This window comes from Homo sapiens, chromosome 5 (genome assembly GCF_000001405.40).
Source record: "Homo sapiens chromosome 5, GRCh38.p14 Primary Assembly".
NCBI classification, from domain to species: domain Eukaryota; kingdom Metazoa; phylum Chordata; class Mammalia; order Primates; family Hominidae; genus Homo; species Homo sapiens.
This window is the reverse complement of record NC_000005.10, coordinates 63,957,306-63,972,583: the sequence shown is the minus strand read 5'-3', so window position 1 is coordinate 63,972,583 and position 15,278 is coordinate 63,957,306. Positions and strand designations below refer to the sequence as shown.

Sequence of the window (15,278 nt, the reverse complement as noted above, 5' to 3'; positions counted from 1 at the left end):
GATCTTTCTAACTTTCTGATGTGGGCATTTTAGTGCTATAAATTTCCCTCTCAACACTGCTTTAGCTGCATCCCAGAGATTCTGGTATGGTGTCTCTTTGTTCTCATTGGTTTCAAAGAACTTGATTTCTGCCTTAATTTCATTATTTACCCAGGAGTCATTCAGGAGCAGGTTTTTCAATTTCCCTGTAGGTGTGTGATTTTGAGTGAGTTTCTTAATCCTGAGTTCTAATTTGATTGCACTGTGGTCTGAGAGACTGTTTGTTATAATTTCAGTTCTTTTTCATTTGCTGAGGAGTGTTTTACTTCCAAATTATGTGGTCAATTTTAGTGTAATTTAGTGCCATGTGGCACTGAGAAGAATGTATATTCTGTTGTTTTGGCATGTGGAGATCTGTAGATATCTATTAGGTCGACTTGATCCAGAGCTGAGTTCACGTCCTGAATATCCTTGTTAATTTTCTGTGTCATTGATCTGTCTAATATTGACAGTGGGGTGTTAAAGTCTCCTACTACTACTGTGTTAGAGTCTAAGTCTCTTTGTAGGTCTCTAAGAACTTGTTTTTTAAATCTGAGTGCTCCTGTATTGATTGCATATATATTTAGGATAGTTAGCTCTTTTTGTTGAATTGATCCCTTTACCATTCTGTAATGTTCTTCTTTGTCTTTTTTTATCTTTGTTGGTTTAAGGTCTGTTTTGTCAGAGACTGGGATTGCAACCCCTGCTTTTTTTCTGCTTTCCATTTGGTTGGTAAATTTTCCTGCATTTCTTTATTTTGAGCCTATATGTGTCTTTGCACATGAGATGGGTCTCTTTAATACAGCAGGACATAGGCATGGGCAAAATTTTTATGTTAAAATAACCAAAAGCAATTGCAACAAAAGCTAAAATTGACAAATGGAATCCAATTAAATAAAGAGCTCTGCACAGGAAAATAAACTATCATCAGAGTGATCAGGCAGTTTACGGAATGGGAGAAAAATTTTGCAATATACCCATCTGACAAAGGTCTAATATCCAGAATCTACAAGGAGCTTAAACAAATTTACAAGAAAAAAACAACCCCATCAAAATGTGGGCAAAGGATATGAACAGACACTTCTCAAAAGAAGAGATTTATGTAGCCAACAAACTTATAAAAAAAAAGCTCAACATCACTGATCATTAGAGAAATGCAAATCAAAACCACAATGAGATACTATCTCACACCAGTCAGAATGATGATTATTAAAAAGTCAAGAAACAATAGATGCTGGAGAGGCTGTGGAGAAATAGGAATGCTTTTTACATTGTTGGTAGGAATGTCAATTACTTCAACCATTGTGGAAGATAGTATGACAATTCCTCAAGGATCTAGAACCAGAAATACCATTTGACCCAGCAATCCCATTACTGGGGATACACCCAAAGAGATATAAATCATTATATTATAAAGATATATGCACACATATGCTTACTGCAGCACTATTCACAATGGCAAAGACATGGATCCAATCAAAGTGCACATCAATGATAGACTGGATAAAGAAAATGTGGTATATATACACCATGGAATACTATGCAGCCACAAAGAGTGATGAGATCATGTCCTTTGCAGGGACATGGATGAAGCTGGAAGCCATCATCCTTAGCAAACTAACACAGGAACAGAAAACCAAACACTGCATGTTCTCATTCATCAGTGGGAGTTGAACAATGAGAATACATGGACTTAGGGAGGGGAACAACACACACTGGGACCTGTGAGGGGTAGGGGCAAGGAGAGGGAGAGCATCAGGACAAATAGCTAATGAATGTGGGGTTTAAAACCTAGATGACAGATTGATAGGTGCAGCAAACCACCATGGCACACCTATACCTATGTAACAAACTTACATATTCTGCACATGTATCCCTCAACTTAAAGTAAAAAAAAAAAAAAAAAAATTGACAGGGCGTGCTGGCACACACCTGTAATCCTAGCACTTTGGAAGGCTGAGGCAGGCAGATTGCCTGAGCTCAGGAGTTTGAGAACGGCCTGGGCAACACGGTGAAACCCTGTCTCTACTAAAATACAGAAAATTAGCTGGGCATTGTTGTAGGTGCCTGTAGTCCCACCCACTCTGGAGGCGGAGGCAGGAGAATTGCTTGAACCTGGGAAGTGAAAGTTGCAGTCATCTGAGATTGCGCCACTGCACTCCAGCCTGGGCGACAGAGCAAGACTCGGTCTCAAAAAAAAAAAAAAAAAAAAAATTAGCTGGGCCTGGTGGCACATGCCTGTGGTCCCCAGCTACTTAGGAGGCTGAAGTGGGAGGATTGCTTGAGCCTGGCAGGTGGAGGCTGCAGTGAGCTGTGATCACACCACTGCACTCTAGCCTGGGTGATAGGATGAGATACTCTCTCAGAAAAAAAAAAAAAGAAAGAAAAATAAAACAAAATACGACAGAGAGATTAAGAGACATGGAGGACAGGAGAAGTTTTCTTTTTCTTAGTATATTTACAATTGCATAAGCAGAGAATAGAAGAATGAGGGAAAGGCAATATCTGTTGAATTAATTGCGAATGAGTGAATCAGTATTTATGAAAAGTGTAAATCCTCAGTTTCAACAAGTAAAATGAATCCCGGGAAAACTAAGAAAAAAAAATCCACATCTTGACATATTAAGGTGAAATTTCAGAACAAAATAAATACCAGAAAAGGTATTAAATGCGGCTGGAGTAAAAGGAAGATTTCTTATACATAACTGACAACTGAGAGTTGATTTTTTATCAATGACAACACAAAGTGAATAATATTTATATAATATTTTCCAGTTCTGAGAAGCATATATATAATATATATATATATACACTCACACACACACACAAGCTATCAATCTAAAATTGTGTAGTTAGTTAAATGAGGGGGAAATAAAATGTCAGTCAATAAAAAATAGAACTTATTAATATTTGTAACAGACCCTTATAAAAGAAATTCCAAAGGATATTCTTAAGGCAGAAAGAAAATAATTTCAGAAGAAATAGCTGAGCTACAAGAAGAAATGATAATCAAATAAATTAGTAAACATGTGGGCAAGTAAATGCAAATATTCATACTGAAATAAATAATGAAATAATCATATTTAATTAACGAAGTAAAAGTCAAAATCAAGGTAACTAATTATTTCACAATACCCTAGAAGATGGGGGTGATCTGAGTTAAAGTATTTAAAGGCATTTGTATAGCTTGAAAGTAGTGAAAAGTATAAATAATCTTTATACTTTAATTTGTTTATGTATGTTAAAATTATAAGATAATCCAGAAATAGGGTGTAGAATTTCTATAATAATGCAATAGAGGAAGAAAATGAATTTTAAAACTTATTGGGTAGAATAGAAGGAAAGAGTAAGTATAAGAGAAGCACCAAATACACAGTATGTTCATGTTTTTTAACATAAAATAACATGGTTAAAAGTATTTATTGAACTCCTGGACTCAAGGGATCTGCCCACCTTGGCTTCCCAAAGTGCTAGGATTACAGGTGTGAGTCACCGTGCCTGGCCTAAAAATAATTTCTAATACAAGAATAGTCATAATAAAATTAAAACTAAACTTACCAGTTAAAAACTAAGATTTTCAGATTTGAAAAGAAAGTAACTATCATATTTGTATTTGTATAAGAAATTAACCTAAAACTTGAAGATACTGAAAAGACAAAATTTAAAATATAGAAAAATATATAGTAGGCAAAAAATAACAAAAAATAATTAGTATAGACAAAGTAGACTTTAAGACAACAGATGTTATTAGGGATAAAGAGGATAACTATTTAAAGCAGCAGGGTGATAGACTAGTTCTAACATTGTATGTACCTACTATCATGTCCTCAAAGTATGTTAAACAAATATAGACAGAACTACAGGGAGAAGTTGTTAATATCCATAATAGATAATGGACTTCAGTAAGTTAAGACAAACAAAACAACAAACAACAAAAGAACCAATTTAAAAATAAGCAAAATATGTGATCAAAATATATGATCATATATTAGAATATATGATAGTCCACTGTGAAGAAACATGAAAAAACAGTCAACCCTGATGAAGCAATGGGAATGTAAACCATTTTTTAATGGTTGTATTAGTTTCCAAGGGCTAGGAACACAAGGAAGCACCACAAACCAGATGGCTTAAATCAACAGGAATGCATTGTTTTACATTTCTGGAAGTTGTAAATCTGACACGAAAGTGTTACAGCCCAAACTGACAACTCTAAGGGAGAATCCGCCGTATGCACCTGTCCTAGGTTCTGGTGGTTGCCAACAGTCCCTGGTCTTCGTTGGCTTGTGGTAGCATAACTCTAATCTTTGCCTCTGTTTTCACATGGCATTCCTTCTTTTGTGTCTGTGTGTCTCTGTGTCTTCACATGGTATTTCTTCTCTATGTTCAAATTTCCATCATTTTATAAGGACACCAACCATTGGATTAGAACACCCACTGATCCAGTATGACTTCATCTTAACTTGGCTACATCTGCCAAGACCCTATTTCTAAATAAGGTCATATTCACAGACAACGTGAATCCTTTATCCTCCTGGGGGACACAATTCAACCCACAGCAGTGGTTATGAAATTTTATATAACCAGTTTGGAGAAGAATTAGGTTTTATCTAGTCAAGCAGAATTTGGTCATACCTTAGGACTCGATATTCCACTTGGTATATTTAGATCCTTGCTACTCTAAATATAGTCTATAAAGCAGCAATATCAGTGTCATCTGGGAGCTTAGTAGAGATGCAGGGTCTTGGGTTGCACCCCAGACTTACTATGTGGAAATCTGCATTTCAAACAAGATCCCCATGTAATTTATTTGAAACATGCTAATCTAGTCTACTCTAAGATACATGGATGCAAAAAGACATACACGAGAATGTGCATAGAAGTGTTATTTATAAGAGCAGAATCTAACCAGAGAATGGATATGTAACTGTGGCACTATTCATACAATTTAAATCCACAGAACAGTGACAATAAATGATGTAGAATTATATGAAGTAGCTTGTATCAATACAGACAAATTTCACAAGGATAATGTTGAGCAAAAAAAAAAACGTTGCAAAAGACTGTATATAGAATGATACCATTTCTCAGTTGCTTAGGGAAACATACATATCGTATAAGAATACAAAGACATTCATGGGAATAATAAACACTAAATTCAAGAGTAAACAGGAACTTCAATTGAATCAATGCTATTTTTAAAAGCTTTTCTTAAGCACATAGGCATTTATTATATTATTCTTTATATTTTTAATAAATCCTATTTAATATATAATAAAATGTAAAAAAATTAAGGAAATAATTCAAGGCTAGTACGTTGCAGAGTAGTTATTTGAATATAGAACTGTGGCCCTGAGTGGCTATATTCAACCAACACATTACTGCTTCAATACACCAAATGACACAGTTTTAGACCAGTATTTTATAATCACAATTATTGCATTTGTATAATAGCATGTTGTATAGAAACATTAAAATACTGTATAATATTAAGCACTGATTTAAGTTTTACACAAAAATGTCACTTGCCAAAGAAAATAAAAATGTGGGCATTTCCACCTGTTAAGTTAAACAGAATAACTGCATTTTGCTTCAATAATTGTTAGATTGAATTTAATTTCCAATTATCTTTAGATTAATAGGAAATTTTGAACTAACATTCCAAGCATTTTTCTCACCCCGACTATGCTCTTACTCTTTCAAAAGTGAACAATAAAAATATTGACAGAAGGACAGCATTGTAAAAGTACATTTATTAATGCTTGTCACTATAAATCTGATAATTTCTCACAATAAAAATACTCTTTTTGGGTTTTTACTGAACTTTAAATATTTTATTAGGACTTACAAATTTCAAATACTTATTTTATGCTTTTGAACAAATGCATGAACTTCCAGGGAAAGAGTAGGGTCGTTTTCAATACTGATCATTGAACTTTCATTGGCATGTTCTTTTATTCCCTTCACTAACTTCTGATTATGTAAAGAAGTCTCAGAATGCAGCAATCACATCTTGTTTTCTACTTGTCTTTTACTCAGAATTTCCCAGAGAACTGGAAGCTTACCAAATACTTTAAAGAATGGGGAGAATGTAACATCCACATGCAAATCTCTTTCCTAATATATCCTCCCATGAAAGAGACTTTTTTTTCAGTCTTCACTCTCTAAGGCCATCCAGCTCTCTTTTTCCATACTTTAGAGCGATTATCAGTAGAGAGAGAATTAATATTTTTACTTTGCATCTGTATTATTACTATTATTGTTTAATCATTATTGTGTGTTTATTATGAGCCAGTGAAATGTGTTAAATGGTTTAATCTTCACAAGTCTATTATTACACTCGTTTTATTACTGAGGAAATAAGAGGGTTAATTAATTTGTTCAAGTCACACACATAGTGAACACATGTTATATTTTTCACTCTTTATGTACTGTGCTTTTAGTATGTGTACTCACTGCACTAAGTCAACCATACAATTCTCAAAAGCAGAGATTGAAGCTTCCAATGTTTGTGTTTTATCATTGAAAACCCAGTGCAATTCCAGGCCTGCAAGTGCCTGACAGGGATAAAAAGCAGTGAAGAAATGATATTATTAGAGAAGGTAAATGGTGAGGATTAGATAAGAAAAAAGCAAAACACAACAAAAAAGTCAAGAAAACAATACAAAAACAAACCGTGTTGTTTTAAAGAAAAATTATTTTCTTGGCATTTTGGTTGCATTTCTTGAATCTTTTCAGTGATAATCAGAAGACCACATTTCCCAAATTATGTAAGGAAAATTTCCTATAAGTTGTTTCTCCTAGTCATTTCCAATCAAAATTCATAGTTCTGAACAAAACACAATTGCCCTACTGCTACAGTATTTGGGGATTGGGAAGAATTAAATTTAGAATAATATTTTTAACCTAACAAAATAATTGATTCTAATTTCAATTACATGAAAAAAAAGTAAAAACTTTTTTTTCAGTAGGAGCTTTTAGAAACAACTTTTATAATCTCATAAGCAAATATTCAACTCTTTACTGTATAGATTCTTTCTTCAGTAATAAAAACAATTCAGCCGTAGTTTGGGGATAATGGACAAACATACCAATTACTGAGAAACTCCAACCATCAGCCTTCAGTAATGATAGGGCTTCAAGGTTCACAGCAAAACTTCAGCTTAAATCTTTTTAGTTTGTGTCCCTGGTCAAGGAATTACATTGAAATGCTGGGTGTGTATCAAATTTCCTGTGAAAATGTTAAAAATATTTATCTTTTTAAAACTATTTTAGAGAAATTTCACATGATGGATGATATATCATACCCTAAATTCATAACCTGACAAGTTTATGCTGGCATCTAGTAAATTCAAAAAGGAATAAAGGCAGAATGACTAGAATTTTTCTTTTCAAATGATATCATCAATAATATCCGTTATAAAGCTTGCTTTTCTTTAGGTTAACTTTAGAGGCCTTGAAGAATAAGAGCTCATCTCTTTATGCAGGAGCTTTGGTTTGCAGCATTTACTTAAGAAATATTTGGTATTCTGTATCTTTAAGAGTTAAACATAGAAGAATTGGCTAAGTGAAAATGAAGAAACGCAATATCATTCTGCATATATCATTTATTATATATCACAGTATTATTAGTTTTAAAAAGTTAAACATAAATATCTATTAGTCACTTGCAGACTATGGAACCATAGTCAGTGCTGCATACTTTCATACTTCTGTTTCCCTCCTAGTATTCATAAGTGTGCCTTTAAAAACTTTTAAATTGTAAGAAATAAAATGTTTGATATATTATGTATATTATTACTAAGAAAAAACTTGAATTACTTTGGATTTTTAAAAACTTTGATAAATTCTACATCATAGCATATTGAAGCAGAATAACAAATGCTATACCTCAGGAATATTAATTCCAGATTTTACAGCATTTTAACTTTCTTGATGAGAAAAAATAAATTTGTCAGTTATTAAACTATTTGGGATCCAACAGATGAAAGCAGAATTCTAACTAACATATTTATTGATTTATTTGTGATTTACATATTTACATGTGTTGTTTGACACAATTCTTAATTATGTTCTTGATATGCATATATTTGCTTCTTAAATTTTAAGTTTCCTTTATTTTACTTTGTTTATAGTCTCAACTATAATTTCAAAGTTTAATTTTAGATAATTCAGCTTTTAAATATTTTCCCATTATAATTTTTGGACCTCTAACTCTATTTTAACTGTAAATATAGTTCTGTATTTGTGAAGAGACTTTAGAAGTGGAAATAGATACCTTCACAAATCTTAAAAAGACTTCTTCAGAGTCTGTAAACAGCATTACCATGTATACTTATCTCTTTCTTTTCAATGCCATGAATCATCACAAATGGCAGGCTCATTGTGGTGGCATGCTGAAATGATTGAGTGGGAACTGTGCCCAGCACTGAACTATAAAAAAAAAAAACAAACAAAACCTTATCCAAACACACTGTCCTGTATTGTAATGCATTGGCCCAACTGGATTCTTTTTGATGCTTTGGTGATTGCTCTTTTGTTTGGGCTTGGAGAATTCAGAGCTATGAAATTCAGAGCTCAGATTTGAACACAATATTAAGATTATTGCAATCTGTAGTGAATCTGTTCATGTTATCCAGTGTCAACTGCTTTTGAGATTGCATTCCTTTCACCTCAGGCATGCAATCAGGATGTATAAGTGAAATGTTGTGTGGTATGTTTACTGTAGTTGCTTAGAAGTCCCATTCTTTACCAATGCTCAAATGTGATTAAATTTGTTTTTCTTGTTAAAGGAAACAGCTTAGAACAAACCCTTGTAAGTATCTTTATTTTCAGTGATTTAACATTTCCAAATGTTAAATCATTTGGAAAATGCAATACTATTCGTTTCTCCAACAAAAGGTAAATTTATGTCAGTTCCAAAGTTCAGGTTATGACAGCACAAAACCAACACAGGTGAAAGTGTTAGCCTAGCTTTATTAAAATGGCATTCCCAGTTAGAACTTGTGAATGACAGATACTTCAGGCTTTCGAAGGAAGCTAAAACATATAATAGGCCTGATATATAAGGTTCAGAGCAAAAGAGGGCACTAAAATAAATTTTTAAAGAAAATAGGAAGGAGACAAAACTCAATACTACCTTGTCTTTTAATAACTGTCTTCCTCTTTCTAAAAGTTGTTGTATTTCCTCAATACTTGCTTCATTTCTGCATAAGGGTTTCCAGATGGCACTCTAAAACATTTGCCAGAAGGTGGCGACATAAAACCTCATTGCTTAGAACTGTCCCAGGTGCTGAACCCAGTTTCTGAGATTAAGAGAGGCTAGCCGGCTAGCGAACCGGGATTCCACCAAGTTTCCCCCAGAGGTTTGCAGGCTCTGGTAAGAAGTGCAAAAGGCCATGTGAAATGCCAGGCTTCACTTAGAACACATATGCAAAATATTTCCATCCCTGAATTTACTAGCCACAAAGCTATGGGAAGTGGCAGTGTCACTGAAATTACAAGTGTAGTAGTGATGGAAAAGTGTGTGTGTGTTTAGAATATATATCACACTGAGTTTTGTTCTTCATTTCGAGATGCAGTTGTTTACCTCTCCTTGTCCTTTGACACGTCCTTTATAATTTCGTTCTCTCCCGGTTCCCCAACGTTAAAAAAAAAGTCACAGGCAATATTCTCCCTGAGGGAGTAAGGCTGGACTGTTAGATGATAACGGAGGTACCGTTTTGTTGTTGTTGTCGTCGTTGTTCGTTTGTTTTTGGAGACGGAGTCTCGCTCTGTCGCCCAGGCTGGAGTGCAATGGCGCGAGAACGGAGGTAGCTTTTTAAAAAGGAAGACACACTCGGTCTTCTTCCATCAATTAGCAATAATTGGGAGACTGACCCAGGACTGTTCACCTTCCCATTCAGGCTCCCTATGCTTCCTTTTCTCATCTCCTATTGCCACTCTGGGATGCTGACACGATTTAAGAATTTGGCAGATAATATGAGGCAAGGAGTAGTTGGAATTCCCTCCCCCAAGTTTTTCCAACCCCAGTTTTGCTGGGTTGGAGGCGGAGTTTATTTGTTACAACCTTGGTCTGACCGGCAGGGATCTGGTGTGTGTAAGTGAGTTCTGAGTCTCTGTTGACAAAAAGAGACTCGAATGCAAAGACGCTGAGCTAGAGGGAGAGGAGGGCGGGGACCCAGAGGAAAGAGGCACTCCTCGGGGTTGGGGAAGTATTAGGAGGGGAGGGTTAGAGTGGGAGGGAAGGAGCCTGGCTTTCGAAGCGACTCACAGAGGGATAAATAAAGGGAAGTGAGGAGGAAGAGGGAGACTGAAAGGGAAGGCAGGTGGGGAGAAGGGGGACGAAAGAGGCAGAAGAGAGAGAAGAGAGGAGGAGAGAGGGGGAGAGAGGGAAGGAAGGAAATAGGGAGAGGAGGGTCACAGAGTGACCGTGGAGGATGGGGCTTCTCGGTTCTAGATATTTCTGGGATTGGAGACTGTTTGCTAGTGGGGAGACTCCAGCTCCGGCAGCCAGTTCGGGAGCGGCAAAGTAAAATGGACAGCGACAGACAGACGTTCCAGCCACCTCTCCGCCGCCGGGAGATCCTGGAGCTGCTTTCAGGCCAACTCCAGTTTCCCAGCTGGAGCTTCTGAACGCGCTGGACTGCGAGAGCCCAGGGAGCGCCTGAAAGCTGCTCCTCGGAGATACCCTTCGCCGAAGCAGTAAGAACTTCCTGCTTGGGTCTCTGCATTCCCTTCCTCCGAAACTTCCCAGGAGAAGGGCGGAAGACCCCAGGGGAAGGGGCGAGGCGAATCTTCGCGCTGCTTTTTCTTCCCTCCCCCTTCCCGCGCCGGGCGCGCAGGCATGGATGTGCTCAGCCCTGGTCAGGGCAACAACACCACATCACCACCGGCTCCCTTTGAGACCGGCGGCAACACTACTGGTATCTCCGACGTGACCGTCAGCTACCAAGTGATCACCTCTCTGCTGCTGGGCACGCTCATCTTCTGCGCGGTGCTGGGCAATGCGTGCGTGGTGGCTGCCATCGCCTTGGAGCGCTCCCTGCAGAACGTGGCCAATTATCTTATTGGCTCTTTGGCGGTCACCGACCTCATGGTGTCGGTGTTGGTGCTGCCCATGGCCGCGCTGTATCAGGTGCTCAACAAGTGGACACTGGGCCAGGTAACCTGCGACCTGTTCATCGCCCTCGACGTGCTGTGCTGCACCTCATCCATCTTGCACCTGTGCGCCATCGCGCTGGACAGGTACTGGGCCATCACGGACCCCATCGACTACGTGAACAAGAGGACGCCCCGGCGCGCCGCTGCGCTCATCTCGCTCACTTGGCTTATTGGCTTCCTCATCTCTATCCCGCCCATGCTGGGCTGGCGCACCCCGGAAGACCGCTCGGACCCCGACGCATGCACCATTAGCAAGGATCATGGCTACACTATCTATTCCACCTTTGGAGCTTTCTACATCCCGCTGCTGCTCATGCTGGTTCTCTATGGGCGCATATTCCGAGCTGCGCGCTTCCGCATCCGCAAGACGGTCAAAAAGGTGGAGAAGACCGGAGCGGACACCCGCCATGGAGCATCTCCCGCCCCGCAGCCCAAGAAGAGTGTGAATGGAGAGTCGGGGAGCAGGAACTGGAGGCTGGGCGTGGAGAGCAAGGCTGGGGGTGCTCTGTGCGCCAATGGCGCGGTGAGGCAAGGTGACGATGGCGCCGCCCTGGAGGTGATCGAGGTGCACCGAGTGGGCAACTCCAAAGAGCACTTGCCTCTGCCCAGCGAGGCTGGTCCTACCCCTTGTGCCCCCGCCTCTTTCGAGAGGAAAAATGAGCGCAACGCCGAGGCGAAGCGCAAGATGGCCCTGGCCCGAGAGAGGAAGACAGTGAAGACGCTGGGCATCATCATGGGCACCTTCATCCTCTGCTGGCTGCCCTTCTTCATCGTGGCTCTTGTTCTGCCCTTCTGCGAGAGCAGCTGCCACATGCCCACCCTGTTGGGCGCCATAATCAATTGGCTGGGCTACTCCAACTCTCTGCTTAACCCCGTCATTTACGCATACTTCAACAAGGACTTTCAAAACGCGTTTAAGAAGATCATTAAGTGTAAGTTCTGCCGCCAGTGATGACGGAGGAGTAGCCGGCCAGTCGAGGCTACAGGATCCGTCCCATTCACTATGCTTCCCCCAACCCTAGGGAATCAACACTTAAGATAATTCGCCACTTCTCCTCTTTCTCTCTGCTCCGCTCACGGCTTGCAGACCTGGTCCCCTCCCCACTTCCTGCTCCACGGCAGGGCCCTTTGTGCAAAGGAGACCCAGCGGAGGAGCGTTGAGAGCCCAGGAAATTCAGAGAGTTTGTGAGAAGCGACATTGGCTCAGACTTCGCCTGTATCATCAGTTTTGATCCCAGTAATTGCCTCTTCTCTCTTCTATCTCCTAAATCTTTGCGGTGGATGTTTAATGCTTAGTTCAAGGCAGAAAATCCAAAAAATAAATAAACTGTACACACAGCCGCCGCGCCCACTAAGGGGCTCCACCCCATCACCCAACTTCTAGAACTTGGACTTGAGGTTTGGGAATTTGCTCCATCTCTCCCGCCCTGTGGCCCTTGAAATATTCACCTTTTTCTCCCCATTTTTATCTTTTCTTTTTTTCATTGCTTCCCTCTCTGCCCTCGCCCATCCTTATGCACGAATCTGCTGGTCCGGAGAGGCGGAAGAGGCTGCTTTTCCCCGTGCCAGCGGTGCCCCCGGGATTCCCCGTCTTCTCGCAGACTTGAGATTAACTCTCTCGTGCAGTGCACAACCCCTATTTCCTTTGTTTCCTTGGACTCAAAGCAAGTGGCTAGAAGGTATCTTTTAGAGTGGACTTGTAAGTACAAGGCCGGGCCAGTGGGGGAGAGCAAGGAGGAGGAGGGTGTGCAGACCACTTTGTTTATGCTTGCCTTGGTGTCAGCACTCACCAAAGAAACTGACAATCATACAGTGGAGAGAGCGGACGCTGTTTGTACAGGTAGCTGGCGAGTGTGTACGACCTGACATCGCCACTTACTTACTGCGGGAGGCGCCAGCCGGCCGCTGTTTGCGCTCTGGGGAAGCTGAGAGGCCTGGAATCCGCGCGCCTCCCCAGCCATCTGTGCTCTCGCAGCGCGCTAGGCGCTCCCGGCTGCTGACTTACAGGATCTGGGTTCCTCCGCCTACGCTCTGGGGCGCCCTGAAGCGCGGGTAGACACCTGAGGTTTTTGCCTTAGCCAGTGGCGCAAGATGCCGCGGAACTCTTGGGATTGGAGAGACCAAGAAGGCTTTAAAGGGGCGACACGCAGGGGCGGCAAAGAGGAAAGGTTCCCCAGGGCGCGCGTGCCCAAGGCTCCAGCTGGCTCCCCCAGTAAAACCTGAAAGAGCAATTTTATCCTTACGATGTAGAATTTTTCCTCCTAATTCACGCTCTTGTCCTTTTTGGATCGGGGAATAATTCTGTTTAGCGTGTCCCAACACTCGCTGCATTTGCTTTACAGGACATCCAAGACACAAAGTTAGCAGAACTTTGTTTTCCAAATAGGAATTCTGGGCTTTCAATGGAATGCCCAGATAGTCCATAGGTTAGCACTATCTGTGACAACAGGCAGATAGTTTAAATAGCAGGGTCCTAAAGGACTAGTTAGGAGGTGGTCTTCCTGGGGAGGCTGAGTCTTTTATGGGATTAATTGCTCCCTAGCGTGACCATTCTGCTGTACCAAGGGTCTGCGGAAACCACCTTTTTGCCCTTTGAATTGTGCAGCATTCCAGGCTTTCTCTCCTTCAGTTATTCTTGAAGCCTTGCCACTCCTGCCGAGAAACTGGTTAAAATCTTTGCTGCCCCAGAAAGGGAAGTTATTTAGGTACTCTGGATGTAAATTTCCAACTACATGATGGAGATCTAGAGGTTTGTCATTGTTTGATCTAGCCTCCAATTTTCTTATGAATAATGGTCTTGTTTTCCAGAAAATTCACAAAGTAATTGATCCCTACTCTTTTCTCTCTTCAGCTGTACCTTTCGAATGTTTTCATTTGCTGTTTTGAGAACCGTATTACATTTACAGATTGCAAAAATTGCCAGTGAAAAGTTCATTTGTTTATAATTAAGAAAGTGAAAGGACAGCTCTGTCAGTTGAAGCCATTTTATTGTTTGTCAGACTGAACAAAGCTTTCCTTTGGTGTCTGCTTCTGTATTCTAAACTGGAAGTAGACATCATATCCCAGCTAAACAGGGAAAGTTTTAGAACTTTGGGAATAGTTTGTCTATGCATGTATAATGCTGAGAAGGGTCTGCAGTGAAGAAGATAAGATAGACTTCTCCAGCACAACTATTACTCATTTGATAATTCAGTTTCATTTTTGCTCACATAATCTAAGTAAAGCCATATCAGAAACCAAGTTTTTCTGTATGTTACACTAAATTTTAAGAACAAAGTCTATATTTAAAATAATCCAAACCCCAAATTTGCTCATCCAAATTATGTCTTGGCCAGCAAGTTTTACATTAGAAGTTTTGAGACTTCCATTTATTTGTGTCTTTTACAGAATTGTGTGACAATGACTTTTGGACATTTGTTCTTTCGGCTTTGGAATATTTACACAAGAATGGAGAAGGAACATCCAACTGGAGCATAATTGTCAAGGCAATAGAGAATTTAGAGAAATAAAATAGCTGCATATCTCAAAAGAGTGCCTGATGCTTTCTTTTTACTTTAAAGTATTTATACTAAGGTAAAGTGCTGATGCATCAAAATTGCCTTCACTTTTCCTCGTGACAATAAAAGACTTTAATAATGGTAATGCTAGAATTAACTGATGTCAGTAACACATGCATCTTTATTTCACTCAAAATCTCTACCTACTTGTATTTATTTGTATAATTTTAAAATTAAAGTTAAAAAATACAGTGATTAAAAGAAGATCCTTCTTTACAGGTCAGGGATCTGACTTAGGGAAATAAGTGTAGTTTTCAACAGTAAAACTCATTCTAGATAGGTGATTTCTTTCAAAAAAAATCTGCCTCTGGAAAAAGAAAGTCACATATCATTTAGGCATAAAACCATGCATTTTCTATGACTGGCACCTGCAGGTAACATATAGGTTTCTTTCTAACATGGACAGAATTGAAGATATATGGAGGAAAACTACAGTCTCTGGGGAAAGCAACAGGGGTCCAATCTGCCTTTTTAAAACAGTGGGTGGTGCTGAGATCCCTCCTCTGTCTACCCTGCAACATTCAGCTGGAGGAAAATAAC

The 15,278-nt window shown here is 39.6% G+C and overlaps 1 protein-coding gene across 1 annotated transcript, besides 2 other annotated features; it reads left to right on the top strand.

Annotated features, from left to right (window-relative positions):
* HTR1A (5-hydroxytryptamine receptor 1A) lies at positions 10,139-14,710 on the top strand. The gene has a single exon (NM_000524.4). It carries the CDS (start codon positions 10,865-10,867, stop codon positions 12,131-12,133), a length of 1,269 nt encoding a protein of 422 aa, NP_000515.2. The 5' UTR covers positions 10,139-10,864; the 3' UTR covers positions 12,134-14,710.
* Positions 10,425-11,402: an enhancer, noted in NCBI's record as "H3K4me1 hESC enhancer chr5:63257009-63257986 (GRCh37/hg19 assembly coordinates)". NCBI's record gives its function as "activates a minimal SCP1, AML or CMV promoter by ChIP-STARR-seq in primed H9 embryonic stem cells {active_cell/tissue: H9 hESC(primed)}" and the evidence as "EXISTENCE:reporter gene assay evidence [ECO:0000049][PMID:30033119]".
* Positions 12,041-12,262: a silencer, noted in NCBI's record as "fragment chr5:63256149-63256370 (GRCh37/hg19 assembly coordinates)". NCBI's record gives its function as "represses an EF-1alpha promoter that drives an FKBP-Casp9 reporter gene in an ReSE screen in both phorbol 12-myristate 13-acetate-treated (for megakaryocytic differentiation) and untreated K562 erythroleukemia cells {active_cell/tissue: K562 | K562(+PMA)}" and the evidence as "EXISTENCE:reporter gene assay evidence [ECO:0000049][PMID:32094911]".
* Positions 14,711-15,278: the final 568 nt, after the last annotated feature.